The sequence below is a fragment of the Homo sapiens genome, chromosome 20, assembly GCF_000001405.40.
Source record: "Homo sapiens chromosome 20, GRCh38.p14 Primary Assembly".
NCBI lineage: Eukaryota > Metazoa > Chordata > Mammalia > Primates > Hominidae > Homo > Homo sapiens.
The window spans coordinates 51,636,124-51,653,436 of NC_000020.11; the positions used below are offsets into that span (position 1 = coordinate 51,636,124).

The following is a 17,313-nucleotide window of genomic DNA, read 5'->3' on the forward strand; positions in this document are numbered from 1 at the left end:
ATGCTGTAATAAAAGTAAATAAGACTTGCTTGAACGCAAGCACGGCAATACCACAACAGCCAATCTGAGGGTTCCTGAGTGACTAGCAAGCAGGCAGGTAGATGGCGTGAGTACACTAGACAGATGATTCATGTCCGGGAGGATGGAGTGGGATGGCATGAAATTCGTCACACTACTCACAATGGCACACAACTTAAAACTTATGAATTGCTTATTTCCGGAATTTTCCATTTCATATTTTTAGACTGCAGTTGACCATGGGTAACTGAACCTGCAGATAAGTGGGGATTACCATATTGCTGTTTTAAGCCACTAAATGTGGGGCAATCTGTTATGAAGCAATACGTAGTTAATATCCCACCCTAACATTACTGTGGGTCTTTTGTGAGCTTTTCGATGTCCCTCTCGTCACACCCCAGCCCTAACCCCCAAGTCCTGGCGTAGAGAGCTGGGAGCTGGAAGCCAGGCAGCCTGGAGTGAGTTCCAGCCCCACTAATTCCAGCTGTGTGAACTTGGACAGGTTTCCCAGCTCCCCTCAATTCCAGCTGTGTGAACTTGAACGGTTTCTGAGCCTCCTTCCACTTCAATTTTCTCCCCTGCCAAACATCAGTCCTAATGGTACCTACCTCACATGGTTATGTATTAAATGAGTTACTTCATGCAAATCACTTAGAACAGCCTCTGGCACACAATAAGCCCCTGGGCGGGGTAATCCCAACACTTTGGGAGGCCAAGGTGGGCGGATTGCTTGATGTCAGGAGTTCCAGACAAGCCTCGCCAACATGGCAAAACCCCGTCTCTACTAATAATACAAAAAATTAGCCGGGCATGGTGGCGCACGCCTGTAATCCCAGCTACTCGGGAGGCCGAGGCAAGAGAATTGCTTGAACTTGGGAGGTGGAGGTTGCAGTGAGCTGAGATGGCACCGCTGTACTCCAGCCTGAGTGACAGAGTGAAACTGTGTCTCAAAAAATAAATAAATGTTACTTGTCATTCCTGTCATTCTTCTTACTACTGCTGCTGCTAGTGGCTATTACCATTTCTACTACTATCCCAGAGCTGCCCATGGCACTAAAGCTACACGGTAAATGATCAAGGAGAAGAGTGGTGCAAAGATAGGAGGGCGAGAAAAAGCTGTGAGTTGTTTATTTTAAGTATCTTATTTGATAACTTCCCTAACATTAAAAAAAAAAAAAAAAAAAAAAAGACAACTGGCTATCACTGTTGAATCCTGCTCACTTCGGCACTGACTGTGAGTCTACCGTGTGCCAGGCAGGAAAGCTAGGCACAGGAGACACGGGAGGACCAAAAGGATCCTGGCCCCTGTTCTAACCCACAGGGAGAAGACAGGTGGTGACAAGCAAACCCGCAGGAAATCAAGAATTTCAGTGTGATGAATGCTACGGAAGAAGAACGAGATGCTGTAAGAGGTGGTCTGAATTCAAGGAACCTGTAAGGCTGAAGGAGAAGTTCACAAGCCAAGCCTTAGCTGAAAATTCTCCGCCAGCAGGCAGGGGGCAGGGCCATGTGCCCAACAACCTATGTTATCAATTTCTACTTCTACTTGTGCACTCTGTTTTTTTTTTTTTATTTCCAAAGGTTTTTGGGGAACACATGGTGTTTGGTTATATGAGTAAGTTTTTTAACAGTGATTTATGAGATTTTCGTGCACCCATCACCTGAGCAGTATACACTGAACCCAACTTGTAGTCTTTTATCCCTCACCGTCCTCCCACCCTTTCAGCCCCCTGACTCGCCAAAGTCCATTGTATTATTCTTAAGCCTTTGCTTCCTCATAGCTTAGCTCCCTCTTATGAGTGAGAACATACGACATTTGGCTTTCCATTCCTGAGTTATTTCACTTAGATAATAGTCCCCAATCCCATCCAGTTTGCAGCGAATGCCATTAATTCATTCCTTTCCATGGCTAAGTAGCATTTCATCATTTTATATATATATATATATATATATATATATATATATATATATATATATATATATCTCATAGTTCCTTTATCCACTTGTTGACTGATGAGTATTTGGGCTGGTTCCATATCTTTGCAATTGCAAATTGTGCTGCTATAAAAATGCATGTGCAAGTATCTCTTTCCTCCATGAGGCATGAAACACTTGGGTAGATCAGGGTGGAGAGGATTCTCATTTGTCAAGGAAAAAAAAAAAAAAAAGTCCAGAAAAGATGAAAGAGCCTTATTCCAAAGATCCTTAAGATCTGAAGGAGAGTTTTCTGCAACGAAGCTAAATGATGTGAGGAACCACCCCACTCCAACATAGGTGTGGGACTGAACCAAGGAATCGGTATTTTCAAAGCTCCCTGGGAAAAATCAGACAATCATGCAGACTGCAGAACAACCAGACCAAGTGGCATATGAACACCAGATTTTCCAGCCTCCCCACGACGGAAAGTGTGATCTCCGTGGGTAAAAAGAGAAAACAGAGGGATGGGCACAGTGGCTCACACCCGTAATTCCAGCACTTTGGGAGTCCCAGGCAGGAGAATCGGTTGAGGCCAGGAGTTTGAGACCAGCCTGGGCAGCACAGTGAAACCCTGTATCTATAAAAAATTAAAAAATGAGTCAGCCCTGGTTTTGCAAGCCTGTAGTCCTAGCTACTCGGGAGGCTGAGGTGGGAGGACTCTTATAAATACATTCTTTTAATAAGAATTTAAAAATTAAAAATTTTTAAAAGAGCCAGTAGAAAAACAACATATCAAATCCAATCAGACTCTTCAGACTGGCAAAATTTTTTAACGTGCCCGGCCACAAGGTTTCTTTTTTCATCATTTTGATGAAAATGTTTTGAAACATGAGGGAAGTGGTGGCTGAGCAACACTGTGAATGGACTAAATGCCACTGAAGTTTTCACTTTAAAATGATTATATTATGTGAATTTCACCTCAATAAAAAAATACATGTTCAATATTAAACAAAAGAGAATGAGAGATGTATTACCAAGAAATCCCCAATGGACGTTCTCTTTAACTTTCACTCCAGAACCAGGGACACCATAAGCGGATCAGAGTTACGGGGTGTGTCCAATGAATGAACTAATTTCCTTTCTGCTTAGGGAATTATATTCCCTTGTTAGTCTGGGTGACAGATACCACAGTAAAGAGGGTTAGAAAGAATGTCAACCCACAGGGACACACGCAGCACACCTGGGGTACTTAAGCACTTTAAGCCATGAATAAAAACGACTCACCCGCACGATGATGCCCATACGTTTGCTTTCATAGGTGAAAGGGAAGATCTGTAGGATGGTGAAGTTCAGGATCTGGTCGCCAGGGGTCCTCAGCTGCATGGAAGACTGGTCTCGGCCCACCAGGGTTAAGCCCACACTTTCCGTCCACTGTACCAGGGCCACCTAAACATAACACAGGGTCGAAGGTCAGATGCCCAGCCGAGAATCTGGGTTCACAGGCTGTGCTATGAACACAAAGGCAGAAGGGGGCTCAGAGACAGGGGAATCACAGTAGTCACTGCCCTTAGGGACGCCAAGTGCTCTGTGCTGGCCCATGACAGTGTCTGTTCCTCTGGGTCTATGAGGGCTCCCACACTGAAAGCTGCCCCTCTATAAGGCACAATTCATCTTTTCTAGGCTCAAAACAGGCTGCACACCAGAGGCATGGCGGAAAGAGATGGCACAGAATTAAGAGTGATTGTGACTGGGTGCAGTGGCTCAGGCCTGTAATCCCAGCACTTTGGGAGGCCGAGGTGGGTGGATCACCTGAGGTCAGGAGTTCGAGACCAGCCTGGCCAATATGGTGAAACCCCGTCTTTACTAAAAATACAAAAATTACCCAGGCATGGTGGCGGACACCTGTAATCCCAGCTACCCAGGAGGCTGAGGCAGGAGAATCGCTTGAACCCAGGAGGCAGAGATGCAGTGAGCTGAGATCACGCCATTGCACTCCAGCCTGGGTGACATAGCGAGACTCTGTCCCCGTCCCCACCCCACACCACCCCCACTCCGAAAAAAGGAGCAATTGGCACAATTACGGATCACTCCTGGAAGTATCTGCAACAAGCTAAACAATAAAAAAAAGAAGGAAGAGAATGCTGACTGACACAGCCCTTCGCCTTCAGGCTCTCCTTTCAGCCTCACACACTGCACTGGGGGAGTGTCTTCAGTGGTTCTCAACTGGGTGATTCTGTCCCCCAGGGGACCCGCGCCAACATCTGGGGGAATCTGTACTTGTCACAACTGGAAGGAGGTAATGCTGGTATCCAGTGGGCAGAGGCCAGGGATGCTACAAAACGTCCCGTAACACACAGGACATACCACACCAGAGACTGATCTGGCCCCAAATGTCAATAGTGCTGAGGTGGAGAACACGGGTCCACACAGAAGAGGAAACCAAGGCTCAGAGCAGTTAATGAAGTTGCCCAAGGTGACAGCGCTGGCATGTGGCAAAGCTAGGCCAGACTGGCACCTGGATCCGCCTGGTGTAAAGTTCCACAGCACACACTCTTCCCTTCCAAGAGTCATCGCACGGGTGTCAAGTCAGAACCTTCTCATGGCCTCAGCCAGACATACTCAGCTTAAGGTCAAAGGCATGAGGGTTGCAAACTCCAAGACAGGGGCCAGAGTGTTGATACAAATAGCAAAGAGGGCTGAGTGGGGGCTGTGGCAAGCAGGAGCCCAGCCCCAGCCAAAGGAGGCTGCTGCCACTATACACACAGGTGGCAGTTACTGCCCTGCAGGGACTAGGGCCAGGGTGGATGGAGCTTCCAGTTTCTCAAGAAAAAACAGAAATTTAGACTTCTCCCCGAGACGGCCTAACTTTTAAATGTAAGCAATTGGCCAGCTGCTGTGACTCACACTTTTAATCCCAGCACTTGGGGAGGTTGACGCAGGAGGATCACTTGAGCCCAGGAGTTTGAGACAAGCCTAGGTAACACAAGGAGACCCCATTTCTAAAAAAAAATTTTTTAATTATTAGGGTGGTGGCTCATGTCTGTAATCCCAGAACTTTGGGAGGCTGAGGCAGGCAGATCACCTGAGGTCAGGAGTTCGAGACTAGCCTGGTCAACATGGTGAAATCCAGTCTCTACTAAAAATACAAAAATTAGCCGGAGGTGGTGGCATGCGCCTGTAATCCCAGCTACTCAGGAGGCTGAGGGAGGCGAATCTCTTAAACCTGGAAGGTAGAAGTTGCAGTGAGTAGAGATCGCACCACCCCACTCCAGCCTGGACAACAGAGCGAGACTGTATCTCAAAAAAAAAATTATTATTAGGGTGGGGTGGTGCATGTGTGTCGTCTCAGTTACTCAAGAGGTTGAGGTGGGAGGATCACGATCTGGGAGGTGGAGGCTACAGTGAGCCATAATGGTGCCACACTACTCCCACCTGGACACAGAGTAAGACCCTGTCTCAAAAACATAATAATAGAGCCGGGCGCGGTGGCTCACACCTGTAATCTCAGCACTTTGGGAGGCTGAGGTGAGTGGATCACCTGAGGTCAGGAGTTCGAGACCAGCCTGGCCAACATAGTGAAACCCCATCTCTACTAAAAAAATAAAAATAAAAAAAATAAAAAATAAGCTGGGCGTGGTGGCAGGCGCCTGTAATCCCAGCTACCAGGGAGGCTGAGGCAGGAGAATCACTTGAACCCAGGAGGCAGAGGTTGCAGTGAGCCGAGGTCGCGCCATTGCACTCCAGTTTGGGCAACAAGAGCGAAACTCCATCTCAAAAAAAAAAAAAAAAAGATAAAAAACACTTCCAGTGGAGGTGATGCCTCCCAAGTACCCCTCTCCCTATCACCTACCTGCAGCCCCTGTCAACACCCTCCTAAAACCTGCCTCCCCTACTCCCCCTAAAGATTAAGCTTTATGAGAGGAAAGTGGGAGGGCCTTCCTTTTCTTCTTTCTTGATTTTTTGTAGACACTGTACCTTTGGACTTGGATGGGAATAAAGTGACAGCTTGTTTGGCATTGAAGTTGGAAGCCCTCCTGTATTCCTTTCCTGTTGTTGCTGTACCAAATTACTGTGCATCTGTTTTTTTTTGTTTGTTTTGTTTTGTTTTGTTTTCGTGATGGAGTCTCACTCTGTCACCTAGGCTGGAGTGCAGTGGTGCGATCTCGGCTCATTGCAACCTCCACCTCCCGGGTTCAAGCAATTCTCCTGCATCAGCCTCCCAAGTAGCTGGGATTACAGGCACCTGCCATCACATCTGCCTAATTTTTGTAATTTTAATAGAGATGGGATTTCACCATGTTGGCCAAATTGGTCTCAAACTCCTGATCTCAAGTGATCCACCTGCTTCAACCTCCCTCCCAAAGTGCTGGGATTACAGCCATGGGCCACCGCACCGGCCAGCATCTGTTTTAAAATGAAACAAATAGATTTTCTTACAGTTCTATAGATCAGGGGTGGACATGGGATGAGGGTCTCACTGAGACAGGATCAAGGTCGCTTGATCACCATTGCTGCATTGCTGCGGAGGCTCTAGGGGAGCACCTGTAGTCCCAGCTACTGGAGAGGCTGAGATGGGAAGATTGATTCAGCCTGGGAGGCAGAGGCTACAGTAAGCTGAAACCATGCCACTGCACTCTAGCCTGGGTGACTGAGTGAGACTCTGTCTCCAAAAAAAAAAAAAAAAAAAAAAAAAAAAAAAAAAAAAACCTGGCGTTCCTCTTGAGTTCCCATTCCTTTTACCAAGAGAGCTCTGCAGAAGCCACAAGGCAAAGGTATGCAGCTCTCCACCCCTAGTCCTTTCTTTCTCTGGAACCCCTGGATGTCATCTTAGCTGACCTGCTATACCCCGAAGAAGAGATCAAGCTGGAGCTCAAAACTGGGGTTCCAGTCCCCGCTCTGTCCCCAGCCCCCAGCCCCCACAGGCCTCTGCAAAATAAAGATCTTGGAGTAGATGACTATTTCTCATTTCTGCTCCAGCTCTGAAAATGTATCTTTATGCATCCTTAGTCTACTATGCTCAGATATCGAGTTCAGTTTCTGTTGCTTCTATTAACTAAATTTACATTAGCAAGAAATTATTTTTCAAGACTCTCCCTTATTTAAGTTCAAGTCATAATGAGTCAGCCAGCACTAACGAGCTTTGAGCTTTGACCAATGGAAGAAACTGTCATACTGACCTCTACCTTTCAAAGAAAGGACCAATCAAGTAGTGGGTTTTTCTGTTTTTATTTTGTGTTTTTTTAGTTTTAGTTTTTGGCTACTGGCCTGCCTAAGTCTTTGAAAACTCATTCACTTAGTTATTTGTTTAATTTAATGGCTATGCTATAGACTATGTTTATGTCCCCTAAAATTCATATGTTGAAACCTAATCCCCAATATGATAGCAGTTGGAGATGGGGCCTCTGGGAGGTGATTAAGTCCTGGGGGTGGGGTTCCTCATGAGTGGATGTGTGCCTTTATGAAAGAAACCCCAGAGAGGTCCCTCGCTCCTTCTGCTGCGAGAGACAGAGTGAAAAGAGGGCCTTTTATCAGCCAGGAAACAGGCCCTCACCAGACACCAAATCTGCCAGTATGCTGACACAGGACTTCCCAGCCTCCAGAACTAGGAGAAATAACTTCTGTTGTTTACAAGATACCCAGTTGATGGTATTTTGTTATAGCAGGCCATGTTATAGCAGGCCAAACAGACTAAGACACTCTAACTTTCAATATAGCCCTGTTTTGTCTGCTAACAATTGTCTTCCAAAGTTTAAAATTAACAAATCAGTAATGATTCGCATATATAAAATCATACCAGCCAGGTGCAGTAGCTCATGTCTGTAATCCCAGCACTTTGGGAGGCCGAGGCAGGAGGATCACCTGAGGTCAGGAGTTCAAGACCAGTCAGGTCAACATAGCGAAACCCCATCTCTACAAAAATACAAAAACTAGCCAGGCATGATGGCGGGTGCCTGTAATCCCAGCTACTCGGGAGTCTAAGGCAGGAGAATCGCGTGAACCCCAGAGGCAGAGGTTGCAGTGAGCTGGGATGGCGCCATTGCACTTCAGCCTGAGCAACAGAACAAGACTCTGCCTCAAAAATAAATAAATAAATAAAAACAAGAAAAAAAATTATCCCATCTGTCTATGTAAAAAAGCTTGGGTGCAGTGTAGAAATGTTTATAGAGTGATACACATGGAGAGAATTACTTCTAGCTTTTACTTCTAGCTTTTTTTTTTTTTTTTTTTTTTTGAGACGGAGTCTCACTCTTTTGCCCAGGTTGGAGTGCAGTGGCGCGATCTCGGCTCACTGCAAACTCCACCTCCTGGGTTCATGCCATTCTCCTGCCTCAGCCTCCCAAGTAGCTGGTGCCCGCCACCACACCCGGCTAATTTTTTTTTTTTTTGTATTTTTAGTAGAGATGGGTTTCACCATGTTAGTCAGGATGGTCTCGATCTCCTGACCTCATGATCTGCCCACCTCGGCCTCCCAAAGTGCTGGAATTACAGGCATGGGCCATGGCGCCCGGCCACTTCTAGCTTTCTATACCACCGAAATGTTTCAAACGTGTATACGCATTTCTTTTACGTTTAACTTTAATTAAATAAACATCCCAATACAATTCAAATATTACAAATACCTAGTTATGTACAAGCTAAAAAACCCTGACTAAATTTATATCCTTCCTTATATACCTATTAAGTAATAAAGTAAAAAAAAAAATTATTCTTCAGGTACTTTCAAACACTTATGGAAATGATTTTTTTATTCCTATTCTCAAGTAGCTATTACTTTGCCTGTTAATTGCCCTGAAAATATGTGAAAAGTCTGTGATACTGGGCTTCCAGGAGATACACTAATTCCCCAAAAGCCTGCTTTTAACTTTAATCGAGAAAGAATCTGTAACTCCAGAACCAGAAGTGGCTTCCAGGGCTGGGCAGCAGAATCGGCCAGCCCAGCATGCCCAGCTACAGACCCCACAGGTTCATGTTAGTGGAAACGTTGAATAACTATAACCTGAAATGATCAGAAATGACAAACGCTTTTGAGGAAAGATCAATTACAGCTGTATGTAAACATCTTTTAGCCTTGCTTTCTTCTAGAGCAAGCCTCTCAGTGGAGCTTAGGAGCCTACGACAGCTATATCTGTAGCCCTTCCCCACCCCTGGGATCCACCATCCTAATCAAAACCTCTGCAGGATCTGGCGAGGTGGCTCACACCTGTAATCCCAGCACTTTGGGAAGCCAAGGCAGGCAGATCACCTGAGGTCAGGAGTTTGAGACCAGCCTGGCCAACATGGTGAAACCCTGTCTCTACTAAAGATACAAAAATTAGCAGAGCGTGGTGGCAGGCACCTATAATCCCAGCTACTCGGGAGGCTGAGGCAGGAGAATGGCGTGAACCCGGGAGGTGGAGTTTGCAGTGAGCCAAGATCGCGCCTGGGCGACAGAGTGAGACTCCGTCTCAAAACAAACAAACAAACAAACAAAAACAAACAAACAAAAAAAAAACAAGAACGTTCTCAGTCTCTTTGGGAGCTGATTCCAACAGGATCTGAGCCCTGCAGGAAGTCTTTCCTTCTCCCCTTCCACTCTCCTCCATTTTAGCTTAAGTCAGTGTTAATTTAAAGCTACTTTCTAACAGGACACATAACATCCCCCAGAGTCCTACTCAGGGAGGACCAGTTTAGAAGTGGGGTACTCACTAACACCTCTCGATTGTGGGCCAGACAAACATCTGGGGAGTGAGCTGAGATAACTGCATTCCCTCCCAAAACAAAGTGATATACAACAAGGTTACTTAACATTCTGGCTTCTGTTCAAAGAAATCACCCCGTAACACACAAGATAGAGGATTTCAGGGGCTTGCATCTCACTGCTGTTAACAGCCTGAGTTAGGGTCTCAATAACTGCAGGTCAGGCCAGCAGCAGAAAACACAACCTCGTTAAGGTGGATGAATGAACAGATACATTAGACGCGAGCTGGATAAAATGCTGGAAAGGTAGAAAGGGCGGGGAGGGGATCCTGTCTCAGGAGTCTGTTGTGTTTTCTCCTTTGGGTGACAAGAAACCAAAGGGGCAGAGCCCACACCTTTCCCTGCCTCAAATGCCCATGTGAGGGACTCAGGCCAGAAACCATCCGTGAAAGGGCTTTTTCATCATTTCTTGGCCAGCAATAAACCACTTGTGACAAGTTTTTAAAGTTTTCTCTTTGTACCTGGGATGCTGTGCTTGGGAAATAAGCCAGATCACGCTCAGTAGCCTTGAATTCTTGTCAAAAGCAGGATACATACCAATCATCAGAGCACGTATGATACGAGGCGGGAATGTGACATCTGATAAAAGGGGTTATTTGGTGGCATTCAATAAGATAAATACTTAAGCTCACAAAGAGTCACCGGTCAGCCCTAATCCAGCCTTTCAAAATTATAAATCTATCCACAGACACACGGTTTTCTTCACTCAATACGAAAATACATTCAAATGCACCAGGCAGTGGTTGCAGGTTCAAATGCCGACAGGCGTTGGGAGAGAAGCAGACAGGCATAGGGCAGGGCCATGTGGGGGTCAGAAGAAAACTGAGGCAGCAGCTGCCCAGCTTGGCCAACCACTGCCAGGTAGAAGTTGGGCCTACTATTTCCAGACCTGATCTTTCTTGAGAAAAACTAATTTTGACATAAAATCAAGTGATTTTTAAATACTGCTTCAATTTTTTTTTTTAACATAGCATGAAACAAACAAAACACAGCCTGCTAGGAATCAGCGGAAGAGACAGTGGCATAAAAGGTCACTTCTTGCCAGGCGCAGTGGCTCACGCCTGTAATCCCAACACCTTGGGAGGCTGAAGTGGGCGGATCACCTGAGGTATGGAGCCTCAAGACCAGCCTGGCCAACATAGTGAAAACCCATCTCTACTAAAAAAAAGTGCAAAAAATTCACTGGGCCGGTGGGTGCCTGTAATTCCAGCTACTCGGGAGGCTGAGGCAGCGGAATTGCTTGAACCCAGGAGGAGGAAGTTGCAGTGAGCTGAGATCACACCACTGCACTCCAGCTTGGGCAACAGAGCAAGACTCCATCTCAAATAAATAAATAATAGTCACTTCTTGATCCAAATGTCTTGTACTTGAAATTGAACTTCCTATCACTTGACTGATAAAAATAAATACTTAAGAAGAAAGAACAGCATCATCTTCCTAAAATGTGATCATTAAGAAATGACTATTTATAGACCGGGCACGGTGGCTCATGCCTGTAATCCCAGCACTTTGTGGGGCCAAGGATGGTGGATCACTTGAGGTAAGGAGTTCAAGACCAGCCTAGCCAACATGGTGAAACCCTGTCTCTACTAAAAATACAAAAAAATTAGCCAGGCGTGGTGGCACACACCTGTAATCCCAGCTACTCGGGAGGCTGAGGCAGGAGAATCCCTTAAACCCGGGAGGCGGAGGTTGCAGTGAGCTGAGATTGTGGCACTGTACTCCAGCCTGAGCAACAGAGCAAGACTTCATCTCAAAACAAACAAATAAACTAAAAATACAAAATTAGCCAGGCATGGTGGCATATGCCTATAGTCCCAGCTACCCAGGAGGCTAAGGCAGGAGAATAGCTGGAACCCAGGAGGCGGAGGTTGCAGTGAGCCAAGATTGCACCTTTGCACTCCAGCCTGGGTAGCAGAGCGAGACTCTGTCTCAAAAAAGAAAAAGAAAAAAAAAAGAAATGACTATATATTAACTCTATTCTGAGCCAACACTAATATCACATGGGACAGAGCTTTTGCCTCTATGGCCCATGGATAAGCTAACACCAAGGGAGGCACATCTGACAGTTTCCTACAGTGTCTGTAAAACACTGTCCAGCCCTGCTCAAACAGCCCCCGCTGTCTTCTTCTGAACAACCACAATCCTGTTTTGAGACCCCACTTCGGTGGTTAATCAATAATACTGATGGAAGAATTCCCCTATAGTTCCTAACCTCTGTTCTTTGACCTTACCCCTTGGGTCCAAGGTCATGGCAACGTGGTGGTAAAACTCCAACACCCTCCTAAATCTTTCTGCTTCACACTCCGAGCTCATTCATGCACACATCTGAATGCTGTCATTGTCTGGACCTGAGGCTGAGGCTCAGGCTATACCCAGGCATGGAGGGGAACTGCATACATCTTATGGTTCACCAAGAATGTGCTCATAAAAAAACAAACCAACCAACCTCGTAGCCGCAGAAGGACCGCGAGATTGCCTGCCCTCCCCGGCACCATGTACTTGAGCTCTCCAGCAGGTTTTACACTCACGTTCAGCAACAAGATTAAGACGAGGCAAAAGGAGACAAACGGGACCTTTTACACACATGGTCAAAGATGTGCAGAGAGAAGGTGGAAGGCAATGCATCGTGGCATGATTTATGATAGCCAAAAGGGGGAAACCTCCTAAGTGGTAAGCTTGGGAGATAGAACAAATACTCTGTGGTGTACGTACGCAGAAGAATATTGTATAGCCATTAAAAAACCTCTTATTGGCCCAATGCAGTGCTTACGCCTGTAATTCCAGCACTCTGGGAGGCTGAGGCAGGACAGTTGCTTGAGTTTGGAGTTTGAGATTGGCCTGGTCAACATAGCAAGACCCCCATTGCTACAATAAAATACAAAAATTATCCAGGTGTGGTGGTGTGCGCCTCTCATCCCAGCTACTTGGAAGGCTGAGGCGGGAGGACTGCTTGAGGCCAGGAGGTCAAGGCTGCAGTGAGCCAAGACTGCACCACTGTATTCCAGCCTGGGCAATACAGCAAGATCCTACCTCAAAAAAATAAGCAAAACACATTAAAAAAGAAAGAAATTCTGTGACTTGCAGCAACATAGGTGGAACTGGAAGTTGCTAAGTGAAACATGCTCATTTTAATTTTCCTTTCTAAGGGATGAATCCTAATGAGGTGGGTGGTAAAGGCAAGATACTCAGAAGGTAGGCTGCCAGGGTCTGGCAGAAAAAGGCTTATTTTCACCAAGCTCGGAAGCTTCCCCAGATGAGAAAAGAGGGAAGGGACCAAAGAATAAAAATAAAAAATAAAAATTCCACTGCACTTGGAAGATGCAGAGTGTCTGAACATTACCTCCAAACAGGGCACCCTGTTTGGCTAAAAATAGCCAGAGACTGTGGTACTTCATCCAGTATCAGCCCTGAGTCTCCCACACACAGGCATCTTCACTCTCTGGAGCACTTCAGGAGTTTACAAAGCACTTTCAAGCCATCATCCCCTGGGGAGGAAAGTGGTATTGTGGGTTGCATAGTCCAGACTCTAGGCATGGGCTGTCTGGTTTTAATCGTGCCAGCTATGCGACCATGGGAACTTTCCTTAGCCAACTTACACTTCATCTACAAAATGGGCACAATCATTGTGACTCTATCATAAGAGGGGCTCATAGCCCAGGGCCTGGCACAGAGCAGGTATTCAATAGGTGATCATTTCTCACTGCCGTCAGTACCACTGTTATCACCATTACTACCTCATCTTTAGCAAGGACCTGTGAAGTCAATGGCCCTAGTCCCTCTTTACCTTTGAGGAGGCTGAGGTGCAGCAATGATTTGCTTAAAATCGCACAGCTAGGCCGGGTGCAGTAGTTCACGCCTGTAATCCCAGCACTGTGGGAGGCCAAGGCGGGCAGATCACTTGAGGTCAGGAGCTCGAGACCAGCCTGGCCAACATGGTGAAACCCTGTCTCTACTAAAAATTCAAAATTAGCCGGGCGTGGTGGTAGATGCCTGTAGTCCCAGCTACTTGGGAGGTGAGGCAAGAGAATTGCTTGTACCTGGGAGGCGGAGGTTGAAGTGAGCCAAGATCGTACCACCGCACTCCAGCCTGGGCAGCAGAGCGAGAATCCGTCTCAAAAAAAAAAAAAAAAAATCACACAGCTGATTGAATTGAAAGTTACAAGTTAAACATGGCCAGCAATTGCACTGCAGAAGCAGGGAAGGCCAATGTGATGCCCTCACCTTCCATGAAAGTGAGTAGACAGGGTCTTGAAATACAGACATGCATTTATGCCACTGGGAGGCTACAGGAACCCACGGCAGATGTTTCAGTAAAACTCAGCCCTCGCTGAGGTCACAGTGCAATGATATTCCATGTCCTGGCACATTTGTAAAAACTGAGCTACTAAAAGCAAAGTGTAAAGCTGCATCTATAATTTACAGTTGTGCTTTTAAATTTTAAAAAATACTTTAATAGGCTGGGTGTGGTGGCTCACGCCTGTACTCTCAGCACTTTGGGAGGCCAAGGTGGGTGAGTCACAAGGTCAGGAATTTGAGACCAGCCTGGCCAATATGGTGAAACCCCGTCTCTACTAAAAATACAAAAATTAGCTGGGCGTGATGGCGTGCACCTGTAGTCCCAGCTGCTCGGGAGGCCGAGGCAGGAGAATCACTTGAACCCAGGAGACGGAGGTTGCAGTGAGCCGAGATGGTGCCACTGCACTCCAGCCTGGGTGACAGAGTGAGACTCCGTCTCAAAAAAAAAAATAAAAAATAAAAAATATATATATATTTTAATGAAGCGTGAGGGTAATTCTAATACATGCAAAGAATTATCTCTGCAAGTATACTCAGATATTAATAACAGCGGGTGTCGCAGAGGAAGAAGCCTGGGAGAATGGAAGTCAGGGAAGGAGAGCAACAGGCTTCTCACTCTGTGCCATGAGCATGTGCTAGCCATGGAGACACTCTGCATGTTACCTAGAACTGCTGATTCATTGCTCTGGAATTATTCAGCTATTCAAGACCCAGTGAAATACAGCAAGCAGCTTTCATTCATACACACACATGTGCATCCATGTGCACACACATACTAACATGGCACACAGGAAAATACATCACACATACACACACACACACACACACGTATACCTGAACACAAGCGTAAGTCCTACAGAAATGTGAAAGTCATATGACTTTCTTTTTTTTAAATTTTTTTTTTGAGACAGTCTCGCTCTGTTGCCCAGGCTCGAGTGCAGTGGTGCAATCTCGGAAAGCCATATGACTTTCTAAAGGAAGTTACTTAATTCACCCTCCTTCCTGTTTAATTATATGTACTACAGCATGATTCTGTACTGGTCCTCTCTCTCTCTCTCCATATATATATATACACACACACACACAAAGTAAATATTATTTTATATATTTATATATTATGTCAATATTTAAATTATTATTTACATAATATATATTTACATAATATATTATATAATATATATTTACATAATATATTATATAATATATATTTACATAATATATTATATAATATATATTTACATAATATATTATATAATATATATTTACATTATATATATTTCTTTACATATTTATAATATGTAAATATTTACATATTATAAATATGCATATCATATATTATATAAATACACATAAAATAAAATAAATATATATGTATATTTAAATATGCATACATTTAGAAGGAGTCTGAGAAAATCTATACCAGAACATAAACAGTAGTAGTTATCGCCAGGTGGCAAGAATCACAGGTTATTTTTTATCTTCTTTTTGATTCTACAATTTCTCCCTTTTCTGTAGTGAAGACATTAGTACTTGTGATTTTAAAACCTTTTTTGGCCAGGAGTGGTGGCTCACGCTTGTAATCCTAGCACTTTGGGAGGCTGAGGTGAGTGGATCATTTGAGGTTAGGAGTTTGAGACCAGCCTGGCCAGCATGGTGAAACCCTGTCTCTACTAAAAATATAAAAATTAACCAGGCATGGTGGTGGGCACCTGTAGTCCCAGCTACTCAGGAGGCTGAGGCAGAAGAATGGTTTGAACCCGGGAGGCGGAGATTGCAGTGAGCCAAGATCACACCACTGGGCGACAGAGCAAGACTCTGTCTCAAAAGCGCCTGGCCAAAAAAAGAAAAAAAGTTTTTTAAATATGAAAAATTCATGGAAAAGACAAGTGAATGAGCCATGGACAGAGCTGATCCTAGCTGCTTACAGGACAGCACCTCCTGGCTCAAACCAAGAAACAAAGGCTTGGAAAGTTGCATTATCACCAAGGCCCCCACTGCCACTCCCCACCACCCACTCTCGACACTGTGGAACATCCTGGAAATGGTGGGATGCTGTCAGGGCTGAGGCCTGCTCGCTCCAGCATCTGAGCAGTGCTCCGCTCCTCCGGGTCCGACTGTATCTATTTCATTTCCTCCGTGACTTACTGTACGGTGGCAGGGAGGGCCCAGCGCCCCCAGGCTGTAATCGATAGCTGAATAAAGACACTTCAAGGTTCCCCAACTGGAATGTGCACAGGAAACAAATTTAGGAAATCCTGCTTTCTGTTACAGGAAATGAATCCTACGCCAACTGGTAGAAATTACTCCAGCAGCTCCCAAGTAAAATGCATACTGGTTTCTACACATGTTCCATAAACTGACCTTGCCTAGGCTAGCAATGTTTTATTGATATTGAATTTCAAAGGCACGATTCTAGAGCCAGCCAAGTCTATGCAGAATCCTACAGGGACTTGGAAACAGTACGGCTTTCTGAAAGATTTCACCTTAACTAGATTTAGCCTCCTCTGAGCCTCATGAGGCATTTATATAAACCTATTTGTATTTGGCAGTAGGCGGCCTCTGAAGTAGTTTTTAGAAGGCTGATCAGGAAGACATTAACAATGACTATACCTTTAGTAAGATTATGGGCTACTTTTTACTTTTCTGATCAATGCATTCATGTGTTCTACTATAGACATAAAATAACTGTGCAATACAAAATAATAAAAGTTGTAAAAAAAAAACCACAGCAAGGCCAGTCGCAGTGGCTCACGCCTGTAATCCCAACACTTTGGGAGGCCAAGGCGGGCGGATCACGAGGTCAGGAGATCGAGACCAACCTGGCTAACACGGTGAAACCCCATCTCTACTAAAAATACAAAAAAAAATAGCCGGGCGTGGCAGCGTGTGCCTGTAGTCCCAGCTGCTGGGGAGACTGAGGCAGAAGAATGTTGTGAACCCGGGAGGCAGAGCTTGCAGTGAGCCGAGATCACGCCACTGCACTCCAGCCTGGGTGACAGAGCAAGACTCCGTCTCAAAAAAAAAAACAACCACAGCAAAAAGGTAACACTGGCCTCTGAAGACACCAAAGGCCAAAGGAAAGTAGTTCTTTTTTTTTTTCTCAATCATGATTCAGAATCTTAGAAAAACAAGACAAATCTGATTTCAAGTGCAATTCATCCACAGAAGAGATAAAGTACCATTCACTTTGAGAAAAAGCGGCCGAGAAGTGCAAAGCATTCCATGAAAGATTTATCCTCATGGAAAAATCTTTGCACAGCCCTAAAACAAATACACCAAAGTCCAGTGGGAGCAGAGGAGTGGGCAACGGGCATTAAAGCCTCCAGAGATGCCAACAGGAGC

General features: G+C 45.2%; 1 protein-coding gene across 1 annotated transcript in view, besides 1 other annotated feature; it reads right to left on the bottom strand.

Annotated features, from left to right (window-relative positions):
- The window catches only part of ATP9A (ATPase phospholipid transporting 9A (putative)), a 171,877-nt gene that overhangs the window by 39,610 nt on the left and 114,954 nt on the right, over positions 1–17,313 (bottom strand). Inside the window, exon 15 of the mRNA NM_006045.3 lies at positions 3,220–3,381. Within this exon, the coding sequence (NP_006036.1) occupies positions 3,220–3,381 (162 nt within the window). The remainder of the gene's footprint in view (positions 1–3,219; positions 3,382–17,313) is intronic.
- Positions 3,147–3,441: an enhancer, noted in NCBI's record as "tiled region #9373; HepG2 Activating DNase unmatched - State 25:Art". NCBI's record gives its function as "activates a minimal TATA promoter and a strong SV40 promoter by Sharpr-MPRA in HepG2 cells {active_cell/tissue: HepG2}" and the evidence as "EXISTENCE:reporter gene assay evidence [ECO:0000049][PMID:27701403]".